At 35.3% G+C, this 26356-nt stretch overlaps 1 protein-coding gene and 2 long non-coding RNA genes across 7 annotated transcripts in view; 1 reads left to right on the plus strand and 2 right to left on the minus strand.

Moving 5' to 3' along the window:
* Positions 1–26356, minus strand: part of LOC105375911 (uncharacterized) — a 268808-nt gene that overhangs the window by 136292 nt on the left and 106160 nt on the right. The gene's annotated exons all lie outside the window — the stretch shown is intronic.
* PKIA (cAMP-dependent protein kinase inhibitor alpha) overlaps positions 1–26356 on the plus strand; it is an 88928-nt gene that overhangs the window by 17124 nt on the left and 45448 nt on the right. For 2 of the 5 annotated variants that reach the window (XM_047421953.1, XM_017013621.2), the window contains exon 1: positions 2248–25093. The exons of the other annotated variants lie outside the window; for them this stretch is intronic. The gene's annotated coding sequence lies outside the window, so the exon portion shown is untranslated. Of the gene's footprint in view, positions 1–2247; positions 25094–26356 lie in introns of those variants that run through there. 5 annotated transcript variants of the gene reach the window in all.
* PKIA-AS1 (PKIA antisense RNA 1) lies at positions 429–25040 on the minus strand. Its single transcript, NR_125389.1, has 3 exons — positions 24961–25040; positions 23036–23136; positions 429–2258 (listed from the first exon to the last, which is right to left on the minus strand). It is a non-coding gene; the product is annotated as a PKIA antisense RNA 1 (long non-coding RNA).

The raw sequence follows: 26356 nt of genomic DNA on the forward strand, positions 1-26356 counted from the left end.
TTGTACTAGGTGCTGGCAATAGAATGTTAAACAGAATGGTATACAATCTACATTCTAATTTTCAAATAAGATTGTTATGAAAGTGTACTTAAAATTCAAACAGGAAAAGAGGGCTGGGCACAGTGGCTCACATCTATAATCCCAGCACTTTAGAAGACTGAGATGGAGGAGTGCTTGAAGCCAGTAGTTCGAGACCAGCCAGGGCAACATAGCAAGACCCCATCTCTACAAAAAGCACTTTAAAAAAATTTGCCAGGTGTTGTGATGCATGCCATAGCCCTAACTACTCTGGAGGCTGAGGTAGGGGTGTCACTGGAGCCTAGGAGGTCCAGCCTGGGCTGCAGGGCAAGACCCTGTATCTAAACCAACAAACAAACAATACAAAGCAAAACAAACAAACAAAAAGACACAAGAAAAGGGTACAGAAATTGCATGCAAAAAAACTCAGTTTAATATGCATGTTTGGCATGTTAGAGATAGAAAATATCTAACACAGAAGCTTTACAAGATTAAAGGTTGATTGTCACTTCAGCTGAACTTTTACTTAAAACAAGCAAGTGTTTATTCAAACCAAGCCACAAACTCAAATAGTAATTATCCAACTTTATAGTTTCTCACTTAAGATAGAATGCTTTTACTTATGACTTGTAGTAATATTAATATTTCAAGAAACTAACCATCAGTGTTTTCAAAATTAGGTTATTCCAGTGATAAAAATTTCAAGAGTTTCCCATCAGTTTTATTTCACGTCTCCAAAATTAGATTAAAATGTTACAGTTTTAAGTAAAAAACTAGTATATTGACTATTGACTCGGGTTCAAAGTTCTATCAGAAGGTAGGTCAGAGAAATCCCCAGCGCAAGAACACACCCAAATTTTAATTCTGAAATTCTTTCTTGGCGGATTAGATGTTGGTATCTCAACATCTGCAATGCCAAAGGACGTTGTCAAGTTATTATCAGCATTCAGTTCAGCACTAGGTTTTGAGAATTTAGAAGTTTTTTCACTACTTTTTCTCCTCCTACTCCATGACAGATTGCTTCCAACGCTAAAGGTATCTTGACTCATTCATGCACCATACATTCAAGAAATACATACATTTGAGTTACTGATCACATATACTATTCCAGGTATGGTACTGGTCACTAAGGCATCAAAGATGACTAAGACACAGACTTGGCTCTCAAAGGGTCCCCAGTGTAGTGAGACTCTGCTTCTTACTCTTCAAGTAGTATCAATTATATGCAACCAGAAATAACAGGGAGTTAAGTAGCATTTGTATCATATTAAATGTAGATTGGGCCATGTAATTTCTCAAAAATCAGATTCAATCAAGGAAAGCATAGACTATTCTTTGGGATTTGCCCTTGCTGAGTATCATTATCTATTCTTGAGACGTAATAATAGAAGTTAGTGAGCAGTTCATCAAATACAGCCCTATGGAAGCCAAAATGAATATTTTCTTTAGTCATTGACTTTCTAGACATTGCTAAGGCATTTAAAGTTTCCCTGCCAAGAAATCACCAGTAAACAGCAGTGATGGTAGATGCAGGCTATTTACTGCCATGAGTTGAAAAAATTAGTGAGCTACCTTTTGATTGCTTGTCAAGCATTTTGACATGTTAGGACAGAAAGCACTGTTTAAATGTAAAGAGCAGTTCATGTAGAATTGCTGTAGGTCATCCTAATGAGGAAGTGATCTATCAAGTGAAAGACTGGAGAATGGGAGAACTGCCATGATGTAAGATTGATTTCTGCTAAAGAGACCTTAAATTTGGCTGTGTTTGAATTTGTGGTTCCTTCCAATAGTTTGTAAATTACCCACAGTAAGTACCCAATATAAAAAGCTATTCAAATTTACTTTCCAGCATACTCACATTGGGGATTTTTTTTCCTTCTTTTTTCTGTTTCTCTCCCAGATCAAAAGAGGAGCAGTGAGTCTCAAGGTTTAGGGATGGGGTCCACTTGGAGTGACTGACTCAGTAAGCCTGAGTGCAACCTTGGGCCTTCCAGTTTTAACAAGTTCCTAGAAAATGCTTTTGCTGCTGGTTTGTGGTTCACATTTGACCAAATCACTGCTGAAACAAAACTGCTGGGGGAGGAGGAAGAAAGAACTATGAATCACTAAGCCAGCCCCTGAACTTGCTCACCAAACTGTCCAGTCTGCTGTGACTATAATCACTGCTGCTCAGGAACCTATCGAAAGTACATTCAGCCCTCCGAATCTGGGGTTCTGCATCCATGGATTCAACCAGCAGACTGAAAATATTCAAGACAAAAAAATAAAAGATAACTATTACAAATAAAATAATAGAGTATAACAACTATTTACATCGCATTTACTTTGAATTAGGAATTACAAGTAATTTAGAGAGGATTTAGAGTACCCGAGAGGTATGCATCCCTGGATTTTGGTATCTGCGGGTTTTGATACAGGGGTGACCTGGAACCAATCGCCCCATGCACGCTGCCAGGTGATGACTGTAAATGGTCCTCTGAATCAGTGACTCGCTGAGGGAATCAGGAAGAACAATCTTACCTTTCTGCTCAAGCTCAGGCTCACAGTTTAATCTTTTAACCTCCCTCTGCATCAGTCTAAGTTTCAAATAATAATGGTAATTTATTTCCTCTGTTATTAAAAAACAAGACCAAAAAAACCACAAACAAAACCCTATCAAGACTGGTGGGGTATGACCTGTATATTTTTAGCTTCTGAAATTTGTCCTATTACTATTTAAAATTAAAAGAATACATTTTTCTATTTATAAATATATTTAAGACTGCCAAATGATAGCTGTTCCTTACCCAACATTAGTTATAAAGAAAAAAAGCAATTCCAAACAAAAATGATATTGCAACAAAAACATGATATATGTATTTTGTGAAAGAAGTACAGCTGCCTCAGAGACAATGAGAGGCTATGAAAATAAAGGAAAACCATCTGAGCTCTGGTTAGAGACTCTGGAAGTAGTGAGCACAAATTTCTTTGAAAGAAAAAGAAGAGGAGTCTGATGTAGGTAGACAATCCAATTCTAGTTACTGTCTTTATTTGTGATAGTCCATAGTCTAAAAAGGTGCAAATACTATTAACTAGCCTGAGGACAAGGTGGCAACTGCATTTCATTCTGAAATGGAAAAATCCAAGGAAGGTAGAAGAAACAATTGCATGAGAATTATTACTCAATTATTTTTCCTCAAAAAGCTGTGTATCTTCTTTTTTGAACTTTGGGAAAGCATATATAAGAGTTTCTTTGACCCCGAATAGTCCATGTATTTACCCAGAAATATTTGTGTATCTTGCTACTGCAGCAGGATTACAAAATAGATTACAACTCTACTGTAGAAAGAAAATATGTTTTTATATAATCTGTAACTTATCTGGGTAGCTAGAAAACATACACACACACACACACACACACACACACACACACACACACACACACACACTACATTTTAATCCTGGCATCTCAGTCAACTCCCATATCTGAGTGGTTCTTTCAAATAATGCTTCTGAGTCTACAACTTTACCTTTCCTTCTCTAAGAAGTGTCAGGGCATATGGCTGGAGGAACTTAGTATATAGACCTAGATAGAGCTCAGGGTTTTGGGGACCAGTTATGAAGGGGCTGAGGGATCTATAGGCCACTTCCTTTGATAAACCTCTGTACCAGCTCTTTTCTTCCCAAAATTTCCCCAAGTAACAAGGTTTAGTTTAGTTTTTTTTTTTTTTAAGCTTCTTACTCATAAGCTTCTTTCATGGCAAACCCTGATATTTTTTTCCTAGGTAGAAAATTATTTGGATTTATCCATCTAATTCTCTGATACAGTAAAAGATAGCTATAAACTTTTAGCAAAATTTATCTCTATGAAGATTTTAGACTTTGAAGCTTAACTGACTAAATTTTTCCAATACTTGCTCTCTATTGTCTGAAGGGTAGACATTTCCTTGCCTTTAAGAGGTGGAAAGCCACAAGGGAACAAGTCCTTAAAGAGATAGTCTAAAAAGCCCTTTCTAATCTACACCACCTCCAGCACCACCAAAAGTCTTCAATTTTATCCACATATTTGTTTCTATGCGATAACCGATATATTTTTGAGTTACTTTATTTCCCAACCCCCTCTCCGTCCCACCCCCCACCGCCAACAACTAGAGTGCAAATTCCATGAGATCAGGGTCTTGGCTTTTTATTATTTTTTCATTGCAGGACCTACCTACAATAATTACTGGCACATAGGAGCCACTCACTAAATACTTCTAGAATGAAAGAAAATAAAAATGTGATGCATCCTTACAGTAGATTATCCACTGCAAATTTTGGTTGCTAGCAAGCATGCATCTTTTGTGCTACTGCCTCAAATGGGCCTTCTGCTGCAGACATACTTATCTATTGACAGTTCTTTTGAACCACCATTGCTCTTCATGTTTTCTTGCTTTAAATCATGCTGTTGCCGCTGCCTAGAAGGTTCACTTGTGAACCTTCTTGTCTTTCACACTCCTAAATTTCCTCAAAACATAAATCAGGTGTCCTGGTCTCCAAAAGTATTTCATGATAAACTTTTTCTTTCTCTAAGTCCCTGTGCTGACATATAACCCTCATACCCTATGCTGGCCCTAAACTTGTTCTTTCTCTACGTCCCTGTGCTGACATATAACCCCCATACCCTATGCTGGCTCTTAACTCACTCTTTATACTATTCTCTCTGATGGAAACTCATGGACTTTGTTAAGGGAGGCATTGAAAGCAGGAACTGTTTGCTATTTCTGGCATCAAAAGCAAAATGCCTGGTGCATGACAACTATTCATAAACATTGAATAAATGAACAACAACCCACCTTATTTCTCTCTCATGGTACTACTCTTTATTGTTTTAAACTTCTATAGTTATCCTGGGGAAATATGAGAGTAATGAGTTTTCTTGAAAGTCAGGTGCAGGGACATTTATGGCAATACTTGTCTTGAAGATCAACTACATCAAAGTTTCAAGACTAACTAGAATAATTCTCAAGGAGAAGGAAAGAGGCATTCAAGCTTATTTTGGAGTAGTAAATAACAGTGATTCTGGTGTCCAAACTGTCACAAAGACAACCACTGCCATATTAAGCTTCTAATACTAAGAAAAGTGTCAGGTATACGGTAGTAGATCCTGATGAAACTCTTCAGAAACTGTTTCTGCACTTTACCTCATCTGGCAGCTCTTGGTGTGCGCTGAGGTAATATATTAAATTTGTGGTGTAATTAGTTTAGAAATTATTCCCCTAGGGAACAAAGATGGTCAAGAGACAAAGCTTGATCTAAAGTTGACAGCCTGGGAGACAGGCCGAATTTGGAGGTGTTACCGTAGCATATGTGGCTTAGTATTGAATAGGTCAAAATATTAATGACCCATCCTACACACAACCCAGGGAAAAATGACTGGGCATTGTGAGAGAGTGTGGGTGTCTTGGCAGAAAGGTATTACATCTGTTTCTTCCACATCTATGAGTGAATTATGCATGCTATGACAAGGAGGCTTTTTTAAATATGAGAAATTTGAGGCAAAAATGATAGACCAAAAAAGTGCAGAGAAACAAGGTGAGTAATGAAAGGCAGAAGTGGTATATTGGCAGGCCTGGAAATCAGCTGTGAGTAATTTGAGTTAATTAAATGTGGCATAAAACATTTGGAGGAAAAGGTTGATGAGATCCAATTAATGGGCAAAAGAAATAATTTTCTGAACAGTAACATTTGGGCTATATCAAAGATAAAAGTGGTATGTGATAAGAGATTGAGAAAATGAACATGATAATTCTTTTGTCACATGAGGAAATCTGAGGTGAGGCTGAGAACCCTGTCTCGATGTAAGGAAGAAATCATCTTCAGGAAATGGCAGTTGCATAAAACAAAAAGGGAGACTCAGGGGTATAAGCAAGTGGATTAAAAACTTGTCTGATTTATTCATAAATGATCTGACTCCATTTACTTCTGTTTCTCAGATTTCTTGGGAATTGATAAGTATATTTTCTCCATAGTACTTCTTGAGATGTAGAACATCTAACATCAATACTGATTATTGAGTTTTGTTGTTTTTCTCTAACTCAGAGATTTTTATTTTAAAGCAGCAGTAAGCAATCTATAATTCACAGCAGTAAACTATAATCTACAAGCCAAACCCATTCTTAGCTAAGAATGCTTTTTACATTTTTAAAAGGTAAAAAAAGGAAAAAAAATGAAGAATATGTGATTATGTAGTCCACAAGGACAAAAATATTTATTACCTGCAGTGCTTAAATTTAAAGGGTAAAATTAATTAAAGAAATCCTCACATTAGAATTACATGTAATATAATTATATGTAATAAACCTAATTATATTACATATAATGCATGATCCTCTACGAATTTAATTTGAATGTGAAGATTTCTCTAATTGCATATATATAAACATACACCTACAGTTTTATGTGAGAGAACAATTCTGTCTTACACATTATATGATTTCACACCTTTGAGGATAGATTGCTAGATAAAAGAGATAGGAAAAAATATTTAGCAGTTTCATAGTTCATTGGGGTCAAGAAGAAAGAGGAGTGTGGCAAGTTCATTTTCTTCTTACAATTACAACATCAGAGAAGAAATGAAGTAAAAAAAAAAAAAAGTGAATCAGAAGCCTGATTGTAGGAGATGCATGGAGAGAATGAATAAGGCAATAAAAGGGTGTAACTTGCTTCCCTACGAGTTCTAATGCTAGGAGGAAAACGAAAAATAAAAATATAGGTCTCGAGGGTGCCAGCTCCACTGCCCCCCTGCTACCCCTGCCCCTAGCAAGTATTAGGGAGGGTAAGAACTCTATCTGCTAAGCTTTTGCTGTCTTCTCAAAAGAGATATTGTATAGATAGTCCCTCAAATAGACATAAATATATATCCACATCTATTTTGGATGGTAGTATTTAGCTTCTTATGATTGTGTGTATAAAGCACTTCAAGCATGCTGCTCCTAGTCAAATCCCTGCAGGGCCAAACAAATTGGGGCAGTTCAAAGCCAAGAGAGATGGGAGAGGCTGTGACATACTGGGAATAGATTGTGCTCTTCCTAAAAGGATTAAAATTATATTAAATTAACAGCAAAGAATATAAAGCAGTCAGAAGTCACCAGTTGCAACTCCTGCTCTTTTTCCTGTGAACCGTTCCCCTTTTTCAGGTAGAGGGACAGAGGGGGTGGGGCAGGGACTTCTTTCAGTTGTTACTTTCTGGTTTTCCTTTTTTCGCAAATTTTTTTTTTTTAGACATTCTGTATGTGTTCATAAAAGTCACACATATGTATACTCTAATTACAATGATTCCATCTACAAAAATCTGTATTACATATAATTATTACATTTTATAATTATTACATTTGAGAAAAATTAGTTTTCTTCCCAAAGGAGGCCTATATAACTTTAATCTATTAAAATAAAATTAATTTTGAATAGCACATTAACCAGATGTTTTGCTAAGCTATTTCTGGATAATTCCAAACTAAATTGGCAAATTTTATTTATTTTTAATTGACAAAATTATATATATACAAGGTACATTTACAAAATTTTAAAACAGTTGTTACCTTCTTGAAACTATTTATTCTAATTTTATTCTAATTCAATTCAGCCCAACCTCAACATCTCTGCATTTCCCCTATGAATCCATCTACTATCATCGTCTACTCTCCAAATTCTTCCTGATAAATAATATTCTTATATTTTTTAAGCAGTTAAATTTATACCACTTACTATTTATCAGTGGCATTTAACTCTCACAAGTATTATCCACATTTTACAAATAAAAGTTGCACAGTTGGCAAGTGGCAATCTAGAATTCAGACCCAAAGGCTTCAACCCAATGGGTCATGCTCTTAATCATGAAGCTAAACCCACCTCAAAGAAGTATGAGGGAAATGAAAGGCAGATACTGGATCCCATATATACAACAGCTGTCAGGTGGAAATATCTGACAGAAATGTATTTCCACTGAACTCTTTTATTTCTCTAACCATTGAATTAAGCAATAGCACATCCTTATTAAACATGATCTCTCTTTAAACTTTTGATTATTTCATAAATTTACATATATATAGTAATGTGAACTTTTGTTAAAACATTGCAAAATATCAGTTGAATTGTATTTCAAATAAATATATCACTTTCCTCAATGTTGACTTAATGTGCACTACTGTTCATATTTTTCTGGATAGTCCACAATTATTCAAATGGTAATTAAAGTGTCAAAACCATGTTTCAACACTTGTTTTTATGTCCATGCTCCTAACAAAACAGCCCTCTTTGTTCTTCACATTTTCTGGCTTCTTCAGCTCAACTGAAATTTGGATTTCTCTTTTTTTTTTTTTTTTTTAGATTCCCTCTACCATCTCCAACAGAAGGTTAGCTTTCTCTTTCAAGAGTATAAGAGGCAGGGGCTGGGTGTGGTGGTTCAGACCTGTAATCCCAACACTTTGGGAGACCAAGGTGGGTGGATTACTTGAGCCCAGGAGTTCAAGACCAGCCTGGACACCATAGTAAGACCCTATCTCTACAAAAAATATATTTTAAAAAATCAGCTGGGCATGGTGGTGTGCATCTGTAGTCCCGTCTACTCAAGATGATTGCTTGAGCCTGAAAGATAGAAGATGCAGTGAGCCATGATGGCACCACTGCACTTCAGCCTAGGCTACAGAGCAAGACCCTGTCTCAAAAAATACAGTAAGAAGAGCCATGCCACTCCTTGTATTTATGCCACTTTGTTTTTGCTTCTACTACCATACTGCACTGCCCTAGTTTGAACTTAATGTTAGGAAGTACTATGGCCCTCTCTCTGTTCAGGCCACTTCCTATTCACCCCAGAACCAGTGTCCATTTGTAGTCAACTACAGTTCACCAAGCTTTCTATTATTTCTTTAGCTCCAGCACCTATATTCATCTATCTCATAACTTCATATGTCATCCACATCTCAAAATTCAAACTTCTAAACTCCACTGCAACAATAAGAGATCAAATGAGCTTATGTGAGGTGATCAGAAATTAAGATATTGTAAACGTCAGAAATGTAAAAGGCCAACCACTATCTGTTCTGCAAATTAATATATTGTTAATACTAAAATTTGTAGTCCCAGCATATGTTTGCTTTTTTTCCAGAATTTGCTGTATCTCTATCATATGCTAGGCACTGATTATTTGGTTTCATTTTTCTTCCTATTAAATAGTGACAATTTTTTTTAATTTGTTTTCCAGACAGAATGACAGCTTGACAAAAAGATGTTGTGGTGTGTACCAAATACCAAGATGCCCCTCCTACCTGTACTCTCTTTTGTATTCCCAGTCATACCACCATAGTTTAGATTCTATTTTTTATTTCAACTTTTACAAAAGTGTCTTATCTCCTTCCTGTCTCGTATCCATCTGAAGATGAAGAGTGTTGGGCTCTTCCTTCAGGGGAAGGCTGTCACCACCTGCTGAATTATGCCCAAGATTTCAGCAGCGAGAACTTCCTCCTTCAGAAATGAAGAGAACCAACACAGGAAGTAGCATGAAGATGTGCCATAGAATTAAAGCAAGGTGATGCTTAATGAATCTTTCAGTGCCCTCTCAGAAATGTACACGCAAATATACGTGTGCCCAAGATTTTCAGTGTAATTTCAAAGGGATTCTCAGAACTCTACATGCCTTGAACACTGAGGTCAGAACCCTGGTTCCAGATATTTTAAGATTTGCTTTTAAATAATGCAACCCAGAGAGCTGTGTGCTTGGATCAAATTGTTCAGATTCCTTGTAGCATTGCTTCTAAGTGTCCCACCCTATGCCTTTGACTTGCATTAATGGGCAAATTGTAAGTTTCTTTTCTGTCTTTTGACAGAGGTCATCATCCATCATATCCTTCGTATGTGGTCTGTATAAATGCACACAATGTCTTACATATTATTTCACCAGGCTAACAGATACCTGGAGTACAAACTAAAGTTTCAGGGACTCCAGGCTAGCAATCTTCTAAAAGGAATAAACTAGCTTTTATAAAACAGACCTTATTTTTCTCATACTCTGTTTTTTCTAGTTATTCTCTTATTTTCCCATCAATTCTTTAATGTTTCAACTATATCATATGTACTGAAGTGAAATAATGCAACATCCTTTGTTCACACCTAAACCCAGGCATTAACGTGGAGGCCTAGAGGCTGGTATGGTGGTGCCAGTGATAATCAAAACGAGAATTCCTAAATGGATGCAGTTTTCCTCCGTCACCTACCTGGAGATTGTTTTCCAATGCTAAAATCAGGCCAGTTTCAATTTTGCTTTAACTAAGAGAATTGGTGTTTTCTTTCATTGTTACTTTGTTTTCTCTAAAATTACGATGTCGTGTTGCTGCCCATTGAATATATCCAGAGTATACTCCGTATCCTGGCACTTCAGGCATTTCTACTGTTCCAACCTATGGCTGCAGCTCCGTTATTTCCAATTTCCCTAATCATAGGCCTGTGCTGCTGTCGAACTCCACAAGTCTCCTTTCAAGCACTGGGAAGTTTCTGATCTTTGTGGCACTTTTCATGCTATTAACTATGCCAGGAATTTGATGTTCTCACATGCAATGCATATTAAAACCCATTTACTATAATATACTTATATAGCTAATAAATCAGACAAAAATTATTAAATGACACTTAAGGATTGCTATGCTGTTATACAATGTAGATGTATACTACCTTCTACCTCGTGGCAAACAAGTGCCTTCATGTTTTTGCTCCAACTTACTTCAACAGCCTCATGTCTTCTAACACTTAACTTTAAATTCTGTGTTCTCACAGTACTTGAAATTTCAATGTGCTTTGCTCTATATTTTCTAGGCCATTGCATGTGGTACTCTCTTTGCCTGAAGTTCTCTTTTTCCTCCATACTTCACCTGCCCACCACCCTTTCTCCCTGTAATGGGCCACAATCTACTTTGGGAAAGGCTGGTTTCTGTCCTTCTCATGGGTTCACCTAACATCCTATTCTGAATCATATTCCAGCACACTATATTTTGAAATTCCCTGTTTGTTGTCTTATTGCACTGTTTCCAGTGCCTACACTGCACCTAGCACATGGAAAACACTTGAGTGAATGTTGCTGACATTGAAATATAGGTATTACTGGTTTTGAAGAGCTATTTGATAAAAGTAATTGAAAGCCATAAAAATACTTTTCATCTATTAATCCAGGAATCAAAAACTTAAATGCTTTCAGAGGTCAGGCAGGTCATGTAAATGTCCAGTGTAGTACAGAAGATAACAACAGAGAGTACAGACTAATGTACGTACCTTATCTAAACACATTCAGATTCACATTTTTATAATTACTGTCCAAGCCAAACAAATTATAACCCCGTCTTCAAATAATTTCTTAGAAGGAAAAAAAGATATATTTATTAAAATGTTACCTGCAGATTTATTTGTAATAAGGAAAAAGTAAATACACATTAAATAGCCAGTAATAGAGGCCTGATTAAATATGGATTATATCCATTATATGTCATATATTCTTTATTATTAAAGAATCTCCCAAACGGTAATATATGGAAAATGCTTTCACTATTGGAAATAATAAAGAAAAAAGCTAAATTACATGCTTTCTATAATTGCAACTAAGTAAACATATGCTTCCTTATTAAAATGAAAAGAAAGGATTATGCAAAATGAAAATACCTATAATAGGGTGCTCAAAATAGAAATGATTTTTTTAAAAATTCAACATTTAGTAATGCTTTTGTTTTTCCAACCCCAGTCTTTGGAGAAAATGTTGGGACTATCTTTTGGAATCTTAGAATTTGACACCTAGCAAGCAAAATCATGTTACTTTGGGTAAGAGCTGAAGAATATCAGTTGTGGGCTGAGATAGAAATACCATTGTCATGGCAACCACCAAAAATTTCATAGAAAAGGCATAGCTTGGATTTTTTTTAATGGAGATGACTAACAAGATTGCTTTTGAAATAGTTCTGATATAGTGTGGGATAATATACAGTAACTCCGATAAACAGTTTTGCTGGAAAATTGAGATAAAGTGGCATAACCTTAAGATCAGAACTTAGAATCCCTAGTGTAAGCTTAGCATATTTTGTATACTAATTAGCTTTTACTGACATAATACTAATATGATACCAGTCTGTCTTCCCTGAATACAAAAATTACATATTTAGTAACATTATAATTCTATAATGATAATAATTCTCATCAATAAAAGAGCTTGGGTTTTCTTGTCAAGGGAGATTTAAAGTATTTTTCTGATTCTTTATGAAGACTCAATTATGTGTTTTCACTGTTCCTCTATGATACTATATATAACCTACTGGAAACAGAAGCTTGTGGAAATACTGATAGCATCAATAGAAATCATCGTGACTCCTTCCTTGGAAAGGGCATGTTTCATCAGTACCGTTTGCCTCATTTATTAAGCTGAATTGTCATCTTAAGTGACAGATATTTTCAATGTCCAAACTTCCTGCAAAGATTTATGTATTTTATCCCATTCTGTTTGAATTTAGATCAAGAATGCTCATTAGATTATTTTGTGAGCCCAGGTTTGCTAGAGTTTACAAAATCTGACCTAGCTCACTAGCCACAGAGAGGCTATCTTCATACAATGAAGGTTTCCTGAAGAGTGAATGAAATCCATGGCTTTGTCGAATACATCAACTAATACATTGAAACTGCTAATTGTGTGATTGTCCTGGGGACATGACTAGTTTATTTGGAAACTACTTGTAAAATCTGCTTTGCCTTGCAAAATTGCTTCCCCTGAGAAATTGCTTCTTCAATGGCATATCCAGTGGAGACCTTTCGGTATCTTGCACAATTAGTCAGCCTAGATATAGGACCATATAGTTAAGAAGGAAGAGACAGACGGTCAGTAATTACAATTTTAAATTATAATTACAAAATTGTAATTATTTTAAGGGTGAAATTCTAATTGGCATTTTTTGTTTCATGTAAACTTCTGTAGAGCTGCATTTATCATAAATAGCCACATATCCAAAGTATCACATTTCTCATGTCACATACAAACTTTTGACTCTAGCATTCAATGTAACGTTAAAAAAAATCAAATCCTATTACCTCAAAATAAGGGCTGTGTGCCAGGATTGGGAAGCATTACAAAATGAGTTAAAATTAAATGAGATGTGGAGCGGAGTTTGAAACCCATGCCGTTAAAACCTCATAACTGAAATTGGCACCTGATTGTTTTTCATTCAGCTCTCGAACCAGTTAAATAGATGCCATAAATATGTTGATTCTTGTAACCCGTTTAGTCTATTTATTGTTTTCTGAAGCCACCAGTAAAACTAGTCTTTTTCACCAGCTACTGAAGACAGAGGTCATGTTATAAATCAAATGGAATTATTAACTTCTGTTTCCATTTTTAAGCATTTGACCACAAAATTAAACCTTGTATTTCTACATAAAAATCCAAGCATTATAATGTGAATGAGATCTGTCCACTCATTCATTCAACACCCACTTACTAAAATGCTATTTCAAAGACTATTCTAATAAGTTAAAAACTGTTTGAGGATCTTACTGTCTAGTTAGTCATACAGTTAATCATCACAAATACTGAAGGTTTGAATCAGAAAAGAAAAAAGAGAAAAAACAAAAACAGTTTTGTTTTTTTTTGTTTGTTTGTTTTTTTGTGATTGGAGTCTCGCTCTGTCGCCAGGCTGGAGTGCAATGGCAACATCTCGGCTCAATGCAACCTCTGCCTCCCAGGTTCAAGCAACTCTCCTGCCTCAGCCTCCCAAGTAGCTGGGATTATAGGCGCCACCACACCCGGCTAATTTTTGTTTTTTTATTAGAGACGGGGTTTCACCATATTAGCCAAGATGGTCTTGATCTCTTGACCTCGTGATCCACCCACCTCAGCCTCCCAAAGTGCTGGGATTACAGGCGTGAGCCACCGCACCTGGCCTTACCAGTATTTTTAAAATGTTGCACACAAATAGCCATAAATAGCACAGGGGTAGGACTTTTTCCATTGAAAAATATATGACTTCTCTATAATTAATTTATATATCTTAACCACTTATGTTACAAATGAGGAAAATATAAATCTACCAAAATCATTCTGTAAAACCATTCCTGCTTTGAGTCATATGAATACTTGTTGCTAATTTGAGGCTTTCTAAATTTAAAGACATAAGATGAGTAGTTAATGACTTTGAAATTTAATTAGGAAAGTGGTGACTGAGAGAGGACTAGACAGTATGTTGTTTGCACTAATTTGATTTATATAACCCTTTTCTAGTCAACCTTTTAAAAATCAGCCAGAGAGTAGAAATTCTCCACCTTCAAAAATTAGGAGGTTTACTAATTTTTGAATCTGGGTGAAGTTTCCCAGATTAATCCAAATGCAACTAAAATGTGATGAAAGATGAAGCTCATCTTAGTTTTCTTAATCTACATGACCTACTTTGTCCAGTTACTTAAATTCAGAATTTTCATGTTCACAGTTTGAACCAGGAGAAGTACCTCTCTAGGTTCACTTTTCTCTGAAATTCTAAGACTAAATAAAATATTAATAAAATGTCTCAATAATTATCTCACAAATATATTAAGATAAATAGTATGAAATAAGTTTTAAAAAATATTAGAATAACAGTATTATTAGAAAATATATCTTAAAAGGGATTAAACTACACAGATATAAGGTTTGATGTATTTTCTTAAAAGATGAGAACTTACTACCAGAAACATGTAGTATATTAATAGCCTCATTATGGAGGTGAGATTCTCTCTTTAGCAGAACACAATTAGGGAATATGTGAGTGATGTTTTATTTTTTATACATTGCCTTATTATGCATTTCCAGTCATGATCTCCTAGTGTAATTGCATTTAAATTGTGTTCTTAACCATATGTTAATTAAATAAACTCAATGTAAAGACCCAATCTAACTTTCCTTAGTAATGTGGAGTTAATAAAAACTGCAGCTCATTGGAATCTAGAGTATTACAGGATCTTTGCATACCTAGCTCTTAAACTGATTTGTTTTGGATTCCGGAAAACTTAGCACCTTGGTTAAGTGGCTTGTGAAGAAATTTTGATACATACATCCACCTCACGTAGATCTAATAGCTATGTGTTTGGAAAGTATTTTGTGGAAACAAAGAATTAAACAGCAAGGAAATTTGGTTTTCCTTAAGAACACTGAATCGTATAGAGATAGGATAATTTCTGGAGACAAATAGGCCTGTCAATAAAGGTCAAATATATGCAACTCCCTCCTTTTGCTGAAAATCTGTTATTCCATGTTGACTTAGATATTAAGAGAATACTATACTTTCCAATAATTATATTGTTATAATGCAGGGGATATAGTTCCCACCAGTGACTCTACATCTACAATATATGATGAAATAAAAGATATAATTATAAAATATCATACTATCATACTCAATTCATTGAGATAATAAAGTACATTCTAAACCTTATTTAATGGACAAATACATGCACTATCAGGTGGTTACATGAATCTCCATTATATTTGAAAAAGGTATATGTGTTGACATTAAAACCACATTTCTACGGTGTCTTAAATTATAACTACACAAAATTAACACACTAACTCTGTCACTTATTTACACCAATAAAAGTCTGTTTCCAAACAAGAAAGCTGCACTGGGTATATGTATATGGGTGTTTATGTGATTTAGATGACTGGCATATTTTTAAAAACTGTCCAAAGGAGTTTGAAGTCATAATTTTAATGTAGCAGGAAAAGATAAAGTCATTCTCCCATATTTCCTTAATGTTCAGATGCTATGTGTTGTATGACATGATGTATATAATGTAAGTTACTAAAACTTTTTTTGGAAGAGAAAAAGCTAGAGTAGCAGATATGCACACTAAAAGGCAAAAATCTGGTTTTACAAGTTTTATAATAAAAAAGGTGGCAAGATGAACGTTTTTTTAACTTAGAACTAAATTTAAGCTTAACTTTTACAGCAATCTTTAGAAAATTTTGCTATATGGTCTTTCTTGAAGATTATTTGTAATTTTGTATAATTGATTTAGAAATTCCCATCAAATTTTAAAATTCAGAGTTCTAGATAAAACCATCAATTATCTGAAATCCTTTCTCAGTCAAGACTGCCCATGAAGCCAAGTGCCTTATTTGATCCTATAAGCTTCACTGAAAATCAGCAGAGTCTTTATTAATTTATAAATGATGGGCATGATTAACTGGTCTCAAGTTTGCTCACAATTCTGAACCCTTGAAATCACTGAAATACCAAAAAAAAAAAAAAAAAGTAAGAATAAAGCTATTAGGAAAAGCGATTACTTGAGCCTACTCAGAGTCTCAGTGAAACAAAGGTCCATTTTGTGCATAAGTGTAAAGAAATATATTTTTGAAAAAATTGTATTTACAATTAGAAAATGAACTCTGAGGTTTCATTTATTGCTAGTCAAAGAGTTTAGAGCCATTGTAAATAGTTTCCTCTAGACCGTAATACAATGAGTTTATTTTAGTCAGCAATTACAATGACAAAATGCTAGGTATCATTGAGTAGAACATTAGGCAAAGATCCGTTTCTTCCTCTTGTATAAAATCTGAATGCATTCTATTAAAGAACAGAATTAAACAGGCAAGCAAAGATGTATTCAAGACTATTTCAATAGGGGAGAAAGACTGAACTCAATTCTGCTGAAATAAAAGGGAGGCAAGTTTTTAAATGATGCTGTGAGCTAGTGAAAAATACTGGAGGATATTAGGGTAGAGTTTGTCAATGTGATTAGACATTTGTGTTTGCTAATGGGTGCTTAGCCAAGTTAGGGTCCTATCCTTCGTGCAGTTTGGGAAATAGGAACATTATTATCTTTCTTGATTATTACATTTCAAAAAGATGGTTCCCAGGTCTATCAGAAAGACATTCTTGGGTTGTAAAATATTTACAGCTCAAAGAGTCAGAGAAAGAATTTACAATTCCAAGTTTTCTAAAGTAAGTGATCTTGAAAAAGGGTGGTTAGAGGCCTAGGGTCCCAGAAGGAAGAAACCTGCCGGCAGTTCATCAAGCTAAGTGGGAACTTTAAGGCTGTCTTGATCAATCCAAACCTGGAACACAGATTCAGATCTGATTGCCAATGCAAGAAAAAAGCTTGAAAAGACAGACACTCCCCTGATCACCCATCCTCCCTTATCTGAGTTAAATATTTCATTTATTTATGTTTTTTTAATTTTTTCATAGGTTTTTGGGAGAACATGTGGTATTTGGTTACATGAGTATATTCTTTAGTGGTGATTTGTGAGATTTTGGTGCACCCATTACCCAAGCAGTATACGCTGAACCCAATTTGTAGCCTTTTATCCTTCACCCCCTTCCCACCCTTTCTCCCTCAAGACCCCAAAGTTCATTGTATCATTCTTATGCCTTTGCATCCTCATAGCTTAGCTCCCACTTATGCGTGAGAACATACGATGTTTGGTTTATGTGTTACTATGGAGGCACAGGATTGCCAATGTCACAGATTTTATCTGGATGAATTGCAAGTTTTTGTCTGTTTATTACTCTTGACAAGAGACTATGAAGTTTATGAGGGCAAGAATCTTGTGTGTTTGTAATCTCAGGATTTACAGTAATGCCCCTCACCTCATAGTAATTCAATTAATACTTGACTGAATTTTAAAGATTTCAGAGAATAAGATAAGAAATAAGGATATGGGAATAAGAGTGTGGATATTACAAAAGAAGAGTCTTTAGTTTGGTAATATGAATGCTATAAAGGAATATGATCAGAGACATGTTCCTGGAGGTATGAACTGTTCTAGTAAATCCTAGACAACTAAAAGTGGGCCATACCCAGTGAAGATAGGAAAAGGAGCTTATGTCTAATGTATGGTATATGGTAGACACCATGTTAGCATATCTAAATAGTCCTTCGTCTGGAAGAAAAGTATTACAGGCTCCACTTCATAAGTGCAGAAACTGACAGAGTAGCCATATAGCTACACTCACCCTCACCTCTGTTGCCCAGTTATAAAGCCATTAGACTTTGTTGCTGTAAACTTAAACTGTAATCGTTTAATTTTTAGAGAATAGAAGAAACAGAACTTTTAACTTTACATATTAGATGACACCCCCAAGAAAGGATCATCCACAAAATAAAAATAGAATCTATGCAGTATTAGATATATATTTAAATGCTAGAGACAGGGAAGGATAAAAATGGCTAATGTTTTGGGGTACCTTCCAAAACATCTGAAGGGAGTGTCAACACAAGGAGAATCTGTTTCTTGGCAGAACCTTCAGCAATTAAATTCTGGTTTGGATGGTCATTGAGATGGAAGTTAGTGGGGCTCTTCCCGGTATTTAAAACATTCTCTGTGATTCTTTGCTAATGAAATATCTCTGTTTCCTTGGTTTTATTATCACTGGAAAGACGTTTAAGGGAACAATCTTTCTGTGTTTTTCAGATGTGCATTGAGAATGCTGTTTAACTCCTATTATGTGCTGGAGAGGTATTGATAGTTCCTGTATATGTCTCTGTATGTCAGGACAAGAAATATTAAAGCTGCTTGGTGCCATTCCTATCTGGTTAAAAAAAATTATAAAGGAAGATATTCCTGAATTGAAGGGAGATGTCTGGAACAAGAGCAAGCAAAGTGGAGAGAATTTAATTAACAATTTAGTTCAATCTGAAAGTCCCATAAAATTCAAATACCCATGTTGGGCTGATATGATACTTATTTTCAAAACAATATGGCTTGAAACTTTTTCTAAAGAATTTGTGGTGAGAAAAAAAACTAATGGTAATCTACTGAATAAAAGAAATATCTATTTTTCTAACAATTCTTTGAAATCCTTGACTTGTCATTTGACCGATTTTACCATTTTCTTAAAAAAAAAAAAAAAAAGGAAGTTGCATACTGGAAGGAAGGAAGACTTAGTGCTTTTCTGGTGCACTGTTGGCATTCTTCCAATTCTTCTGGAAAACATCATTCTATCATTTATGCTCCCGTGAGTCAAAATGAAAAAGTCTGTATAGCCTCTTAGACAGAAGTATCAGGATATTCTTAAAGGGGCCTTATCCAAACAGGCATATTTAAAATAGTTATTAGTTTATCATTAAGCCCTAACAAGACTGCAAAGTTGCTTAGCAACAGAATCAGGCACCCTTAACAGGAACATGCATGGGAACAATGGTGAAACATAATTGAGCCTTAAAAAGGCAAATTCTTTGAATTAAATCGTGAAAAGACAATGTGTCATGGGAAGAATGAGTATTTTAACCTAAGACTTGTTCTCTAAGCATTATTTTATAGCTAGACCTAAGTGTCTTTCCATAGAATAAATAATGATACTTTTAGTCTTTATATAATTTAAGGCACTTAAAAAAGATTGTTTATCCAAGTTAGCTCAACAATGCATAATATCTCTATTTTGACCCATTAATTATCTTCAACATTGTAGAGATACATAAAGAAAGGAAGGCTCTTACAAAAATAAACACTACAAAATATTTGATGACTGCAAGGGTTTAATTTTGATGTTATGTATAATTTAAACTATCAGAAACTCAAAAACTGTACTTTTATTTTTTAAATTTGAATATACATTTACATATACACACATAACGTATCTAATTCCCATTTGCAGGAAAAAAAAAAAAAAAAGCCTGAAAAGCACTGTCTCTTTTAGAGTTCTTTTGACTAGTTTGACATTGGCTGACTTTATACTCCAGTACCCGTAAAAGCACTGTCTTGCTTCATTTAGTAATAATGGAAACAAATCTGGTGCATGTGGGCTGTCTTGATATAATGCATAAACACCTAAAAAGTTCAGTCAGGGAATAAACTCAGGGTCCCGTCTGTGGAGGCAGAGAATCCCGGCTTGGATCCTAGTCCTATTTCTGGCTTTATCAAATCACTTACCCACTCTAGACCTCATACTCCTCATCTATAAAATAAGACTTCTAAGATCCCTTCACATCTAATAATTCTATGTCCATCAACTCTTAAGTGGTGTCATTCTTTTTTTCTCATAGAAGAATTGTTTGTTTTATTGAATTGGTTATTTGACTGCTGTCTCTTATGTAAATACTAGAAGTAGTAGGCCTATTTACCAACACTGTTAGAATATTAGGCAGAAAAAATTCCCTACTGGCTTCTTTTTGGCTTTCCTTTATGTCTGATTATATGTTGCACTGCCAATTTTTGGTCCCTGAAAGCTGAAAACGTGCAGATGCAGACAGATGTAATATGCCGCAGCTTTTTGTATCAAGCCACTCTATTTTAAAACAACTGGATTTTTTTTTTTTTTTTGCAGTCTTTGGAAGAGGGTTAGATGACCAAATCTATTTTCCTTTTCTTCAGAGTTTTATAACACCACAAAAGGTCATCCTTAAACAGTCAGATAAGATTAACAACAAAATCTTGGAAAACAGCCAGTGCATCAACAAAACAAACCCAGTGGACTGTTTATAAATGTTAAGTTTAAACAGGCAGCAGAACACGGGATGGGGAGGAGAGGAGAGATACTTCATAGACATAGCAAAGAAATAATTTCCAGAGATGACCCATGACACTGCAGTGTTGGGAACCAATATCAACAAACAAACTTGACACCCAGCAATATGTAGAGTGCATTTATAAAGATGTTAGAAGGAGCAAGTCGTAGATCACAAGTCACAGAAGCAGAATCATGGGCCATTCCCATACTGGGTTCTTCATGCCATTTTTAATGAAAAGATAAATTGGTGGAAATATTTTAATTGCAAAGAAGTGAAAAAGTGATTTTTAATGCCACCAGTTGACGCCAGGCCAGGGTTTTCACTATGCAACCTAGCATGTAGCCCTAAAGTCCTGACAGCTAAATAGTAGGGAAGACACTGTTCTCTTCCTTGCAAATACCACTTCCTTTACTAAGGATTCTAAAGGAAGAGAAAGCTTTTAACAGAGAACACCTGAGAGGAAAGCCACCAATATTTAAATCCAGGAACTTAATATTGACCTAAGGAGCAAGTAGGCTTAGGTAAAGGGCAAGCTAAGAAATTGTTGAAGGCCTTGCACATTTAGTTAAAATTTTTAAAATTCTGAATAGAAATAGAGAATTCCCTGCAAATTGTATTTTATCCATGATTCAGATGTGGCCTGTTAGAAGTTTACCAGGATGAAAAGTAAGCTGCTGAGGATTGCAGATGATACTAATACAGACATAATAACAAGCAGAGACTGATATTTGTAACAAAGGATTTCACCAGCTTTCTAAGAAAGGCTTTCATGGTTGACACAAGAATTAGATTGTAGTTATACCTGATATGAATTTTAGATTATGCAATACATAAAGATGCATTTAGGAGACATTCTCAATAAATTGCACATCATATATTGCAGTAGTAAATGTTACATTCTTTTCAATGAATAACTTTACAGTATTTTGTGGTTTAAAGAGACTAGTTTAAAAATAAAAGATTGTTTTAAATTTGAGAAATGAGCAAGTTAAAATAAGATGAACCAGATTTCTACAATCCACTTTCTGATGCTCAAAGTGGAGAGGGTACAAAATGGTGCATGACTGAGTCTATGGCAATCTGCGTTTTCTGCACTGTGTGAATCATATTATACATTCTGTAATATGAAGGGGTACAAGGCACTTACAGGTTGCATTTTTCAAACTTTTACAAAGGAATAGTAGTCACCTTCAGAGACTTCTCTTCTAACTAATTAGACCTTAGACAAACATATATTTGCATAAGTTTCATCAAGCTGCACTTTCTGAATTTCTTTCTCCCTTGAGTCTATTTATTACTCAATTCACTCTGTTATCTAATACCCCTTACAGTAACTGTATGCCCTGAAATTCTCTTCCCTCCTCCACATCATCAAAACTTGCTTTTGGATCATTCAGACTGAGGTAAAAAAAAAATGACTAAGATCTTAAAGTACAGATATTTGAATTTCAATAGAAAAGAAAGGCTAAAGGATTGAGGTTCTCAGGCAAAGAGACAAGAGTCTGCTAGGCATCAGAACTTTTTGGCTTCTCCCAGTTACAAGACTCATCTTATAAGCCATATAGTTGGAGAGAAGTAGTCATTCAAAAGGCTCAAAATATAGGAAAACAAAAATAAAAATCACTTCTTAGTTCATAAATACAATGTAGGTCTATTGAAGAGAACATTAAAATTGATCCCTGTTTTCTGATCTCAAACTGGCCAACAGTGAGAAGGAGTTGGATAAAGCAGCCTTGGTGTTGGTGAATGCAAGAAGAATTGAGTGTATAATTACAAAAGGAAAGTGAGTGTCAATGTGTGTGTGTGAGAGAGTGTTTGTATAGAAACCACTCTAGAAAAAGACATTTAAAACTGCTAAAGTTATTAATGCACTGAAAAGAAACTATTAACTTCAAAATCATTCTATTGCTATATTAAGTCATATTTGAGGGACAAATCAATAGCAATGACTTTCTTGAAATGTCTCCCAACACTATGATTTTGTTTTATGGCACTGGTGGGTAAAGGGGTTTGGTCTGAAAGGACACAAACAGGTAATACTATCAGTTAAGAATGTTGGCAGTAGTTGAGCAAAAAAATAAAATATGATAGAAAGCACAGTTTGTTTCCTTTGTCCTTTCCTTTTATGTTTAGCAGTTATGTAAATTAAAAGAAATTGATCTTACTACCTATTCTTTTTATTCAGTTACCAAAAGAACATTTGCTTTGAATGAATATGGATGCATTTTTCTTTTAACAGAATCAGGCAGCCAAACATGACTCACTGTTATTTACATGAGTCAGTATCTACTTGCCCATGTAATCTTGTTTCACTAACTTTACAGTCAGATCATTCTTGTTACGATCAGGGAAAATGCAAGCAAGAATAAATGTGATGCCAATTAATACAACTACGAATTAGTATTTAGTAGTAGTTATTGATCATTTTATATGGGAAGTAAAAAAATCAATTATCTAACATTCCATTGTTTACTATTATTTTTAACAAAAATGGGATTTTGTTTTTTTTTACACAATGTTCTGTTCTTTGTTAAGAAGTGAGGAAAAAAGCACTTACTGATCCTAAGCAAGTCAGCTCCTCGATTTGCCTGATGACGATGAATATGAATACAGGCTTTCTCTCCAGTACAGTTGCTCTTCATCAAAAACAGGCTGGCTCTAACATATTTCACAAACACAGAAAAGTGTGCCAAGACACAGTCAGCAATTCTTTTTAATTTTTGAGATTTAAAATATTACTGAACTTTGTTTGAGTTTTACATTTCTCATGGATAATTTTACTGTGAAATTTATGATGCTATAAAACTATGTTTATGAAGATACTATAGTAGGTTTCACATATCTCCATATCTTATATTGGTAACATTTAAATTTGAATACTACATCTTTATCCTTTCATAAACTAGAAGATAATTGTTCTGATGACTAGCAGAAGAAGCTGGCAGGAACGATAGATTTGCCACTCTTTGCTTTCTGTTATTTGTGAGTCTAATTACTCTAGTTGGTCAATTAATGGCAACACATGACAAAATCTTCCTACTAATTGACTCTCACTATTTTGTTACTGCTGAAGCTTCCTCTAATTTTGTATGTGCATATGTTACCCTACTTGTCATTTTTTTCCTCCTAACCTTCCTTATCAGAAAGCCCATCTCACCAACTTCACAGTCAGATAATTCTTGTTATGATCAGGAAAAAAGCAAACAAGAATGAATGTGACGCCAATTAATATAATTACTAATTAGAAGCCACATTTTGAGGGCATTAAAACAGAAGAAGAGTAGAAATGATAATAACTTGGTTTTAGGGAAGCTGTTAACATATAAATAGAACCCAAAATGGCACCACTGGTAGTTTTCCAGGGACTTAATATTTCTGACACACACTCAATTTGTGCCCATGGATAAGACATACTATATTATAGGAGAATCAAAGAGTTACATATTTGGAAAAATCAGGTTACCAAAAAGAATAATGACATTGTTTAAACAATAATGCATTAAACTTTCCTTGTTTATTATGCTAGAAGTTGTATGAGATTATCTGAGTAAAAGCATTTCAATTACTTCAGCATTGTGGGACATGAAGTGTAAAAGAACTCAGAACATGGGAAAAAAAGGAAAAAGAGAAAGGAAATGGCTGAAAGATTAATTACTTGGCTGTCAGCTGCTAGGGGAGTTTATTTATGTTCTCTTAATATTCATAAGGCTCTTGTCAAAATGGTATTATTAAATACCCATTTTATAGAAAAGGGACTGAGGCTGTTCAACTGCAGTTTATTTGATGGGTATTTATGCCTGTGATGGGGACAGCTATGTCAGGAACTTCAATTCCAGTTAAAGTGAAACCTGGCAGAGACATAGTTTTGATCCAAATTTTGACAGTAGTACAATGTTGCTTGTCCTTCTCCGGGATGGTAGTCTGTGTTTCCCTGTAACATTTTGTCTGATTTGTTTGTACCAACTATTTGGTTTTGTAAATTTATGTGACACTTTGTTTTAAGCTAATTATAAATGTAAATTAGACTCTAAGATGTCTTTTTTCCACTAACTGGTTTTGTAGTAGCAAAAATCTGAAATTACATGCAAAATGCTGTTTACAGTTGTTTTAGTAAGGGGATGCAGAGCAGTCAGAGTGAGTTGTCAGATTCTCAAAACAAAATCAAATTATCTAATATTTTACATTAAATCAGGTAATGAATACCGCTTCTGGATCCAAACATTGGTTTAATTATTTATAATCTTTGCAGTGTCCCTAAAATATCTATTATCTCCAATTAACACTAAGGAAACTGAGGCATAGAGAGGTCCAAGTAAGTGGCAGGGATGGAATTCAAACCCAGGTCAGTTTCAGGCTTGAACTCCACTAATTCTATACCTTTCACTGCCTCTCTCACTGTAGGTAATTGTATTAGTCTGTTTTCATGCTGCTGATAAAGATATACCCGAGTCTGGGAAGAAAAAGAGGCTTAATTGGACTTACAATTCTACATGGCTGGGGAGGCCTCAGAATCATGGTGGGAGGCAAAAAGCACTCCTTTCATGGCAGCGGCAAGAGACGATGAGGAAGAAGCAAAAGCGGAAACTCCTGATAAACTCATCAGATCTCGTGAGAGGTACTCACTATCACGAGAACAGCACGGCAAGACCACCCCCTTCCCCCCCGCCCGACCACGATTCAATTACCTCCACCTGGGTCCCTCCTGTGACATGTGGGAATTCTGGGAGATACAATTTAAGTTGAGATTTGGTGGGGACACAGCCAAACCATATTAATAATCAACAAATGTTCACGTATTTCCTTTACATCAGGTGGAGTAAAAGAACAGGTGTGTGAAAGAAACAGAATCAATCATTAAGCGATACTTAAACCAGTGCAGATTAGTTTTAATGTAAATGTTATAATAATAATGCTAGTCAGCAGTTACTGGATATTCATATTATGTTAGAAACTGTGCATTTAATACATTATGGGTTTGTTTGTTTGTTTGTTTGTTTTGAGACGGAGCCTTGCTCTGTTGCCCAGGCTACAGTGCAATGGCGCCATCTCGGCTCACTGCAACCTCCGCCTCCTGGGTTCCAGCGATTCTCCTGCCTCAGCCTCCCGAGTAGCTGGAATAACAGGCATGCGCCACAACGCCTGGCTAATGTTTGTATTTTTAGTAGAGACAGGGTTTCACCATGTTGGCCAGGGTGGTCTCAAACTCCTGACCTCAGGTGATCCACCCGCCTCGGCCTCCCAAAGTGCTAGGATTACAGGCATAAGCCACCGTGCCCAGCCCTTTATGGGTATTTTTAAAGTTAAATCTCACATATATACTACCGACTCTAGGAAGTAGCTAAGGTGATCAAAACATCAACATGATCAGCAATTAAGTGGAAAGGGGTTCCTGGGGGATGGTTTTGACCAAGACATTAAGGAGAGAAGGGATGGGCAGTGGTGGGAAGACTGAGAAGCTATTTATAGCAGGGAGATAGCACTAAGCATGCATTGCTTGCTTAAGAACTGTGGACCCTGATAACCTAAAAAGTGTGGTTTTGATGAAAACTGAAGAGTTATACCTTTATGCAGTTTAAAAATAATAGACTGATATCTATCCATCCCTTCATGTTTGAACATAACTGGTTTGGAGATGTGTTGAAATGACTGATCTCAAGTTCTCTTTCAAATCTGAACTAAATGTCTGTGTGATGGAGATAGAGGCTATGGAGCTGCTTTCCCGAGCTCATTGATACAGCCCCCTCACTTTCGCCAGTGTTTTACATTCTGGCAAACCAGCATAGTTCTTTTTATCTGTAGTTATTATACATCTAGTTGAGAAAACCCAGTTTGATCTATTTATACCAAAGTACAAATGAAATCTGAATTCATCTGATTA

Source organism: Homo sapiens, chromosome 8 (assembly GCF_000001405.40).
Source record: "Homo sapiens chromosome 8, GRCh38.p14 Primary Assembly".
NCBI classification, from domain to species: Eukaryota; Metazoa; Chordata; class Mammalia; order Primates; family Hominidae; genus Homo; species Homo sapiens.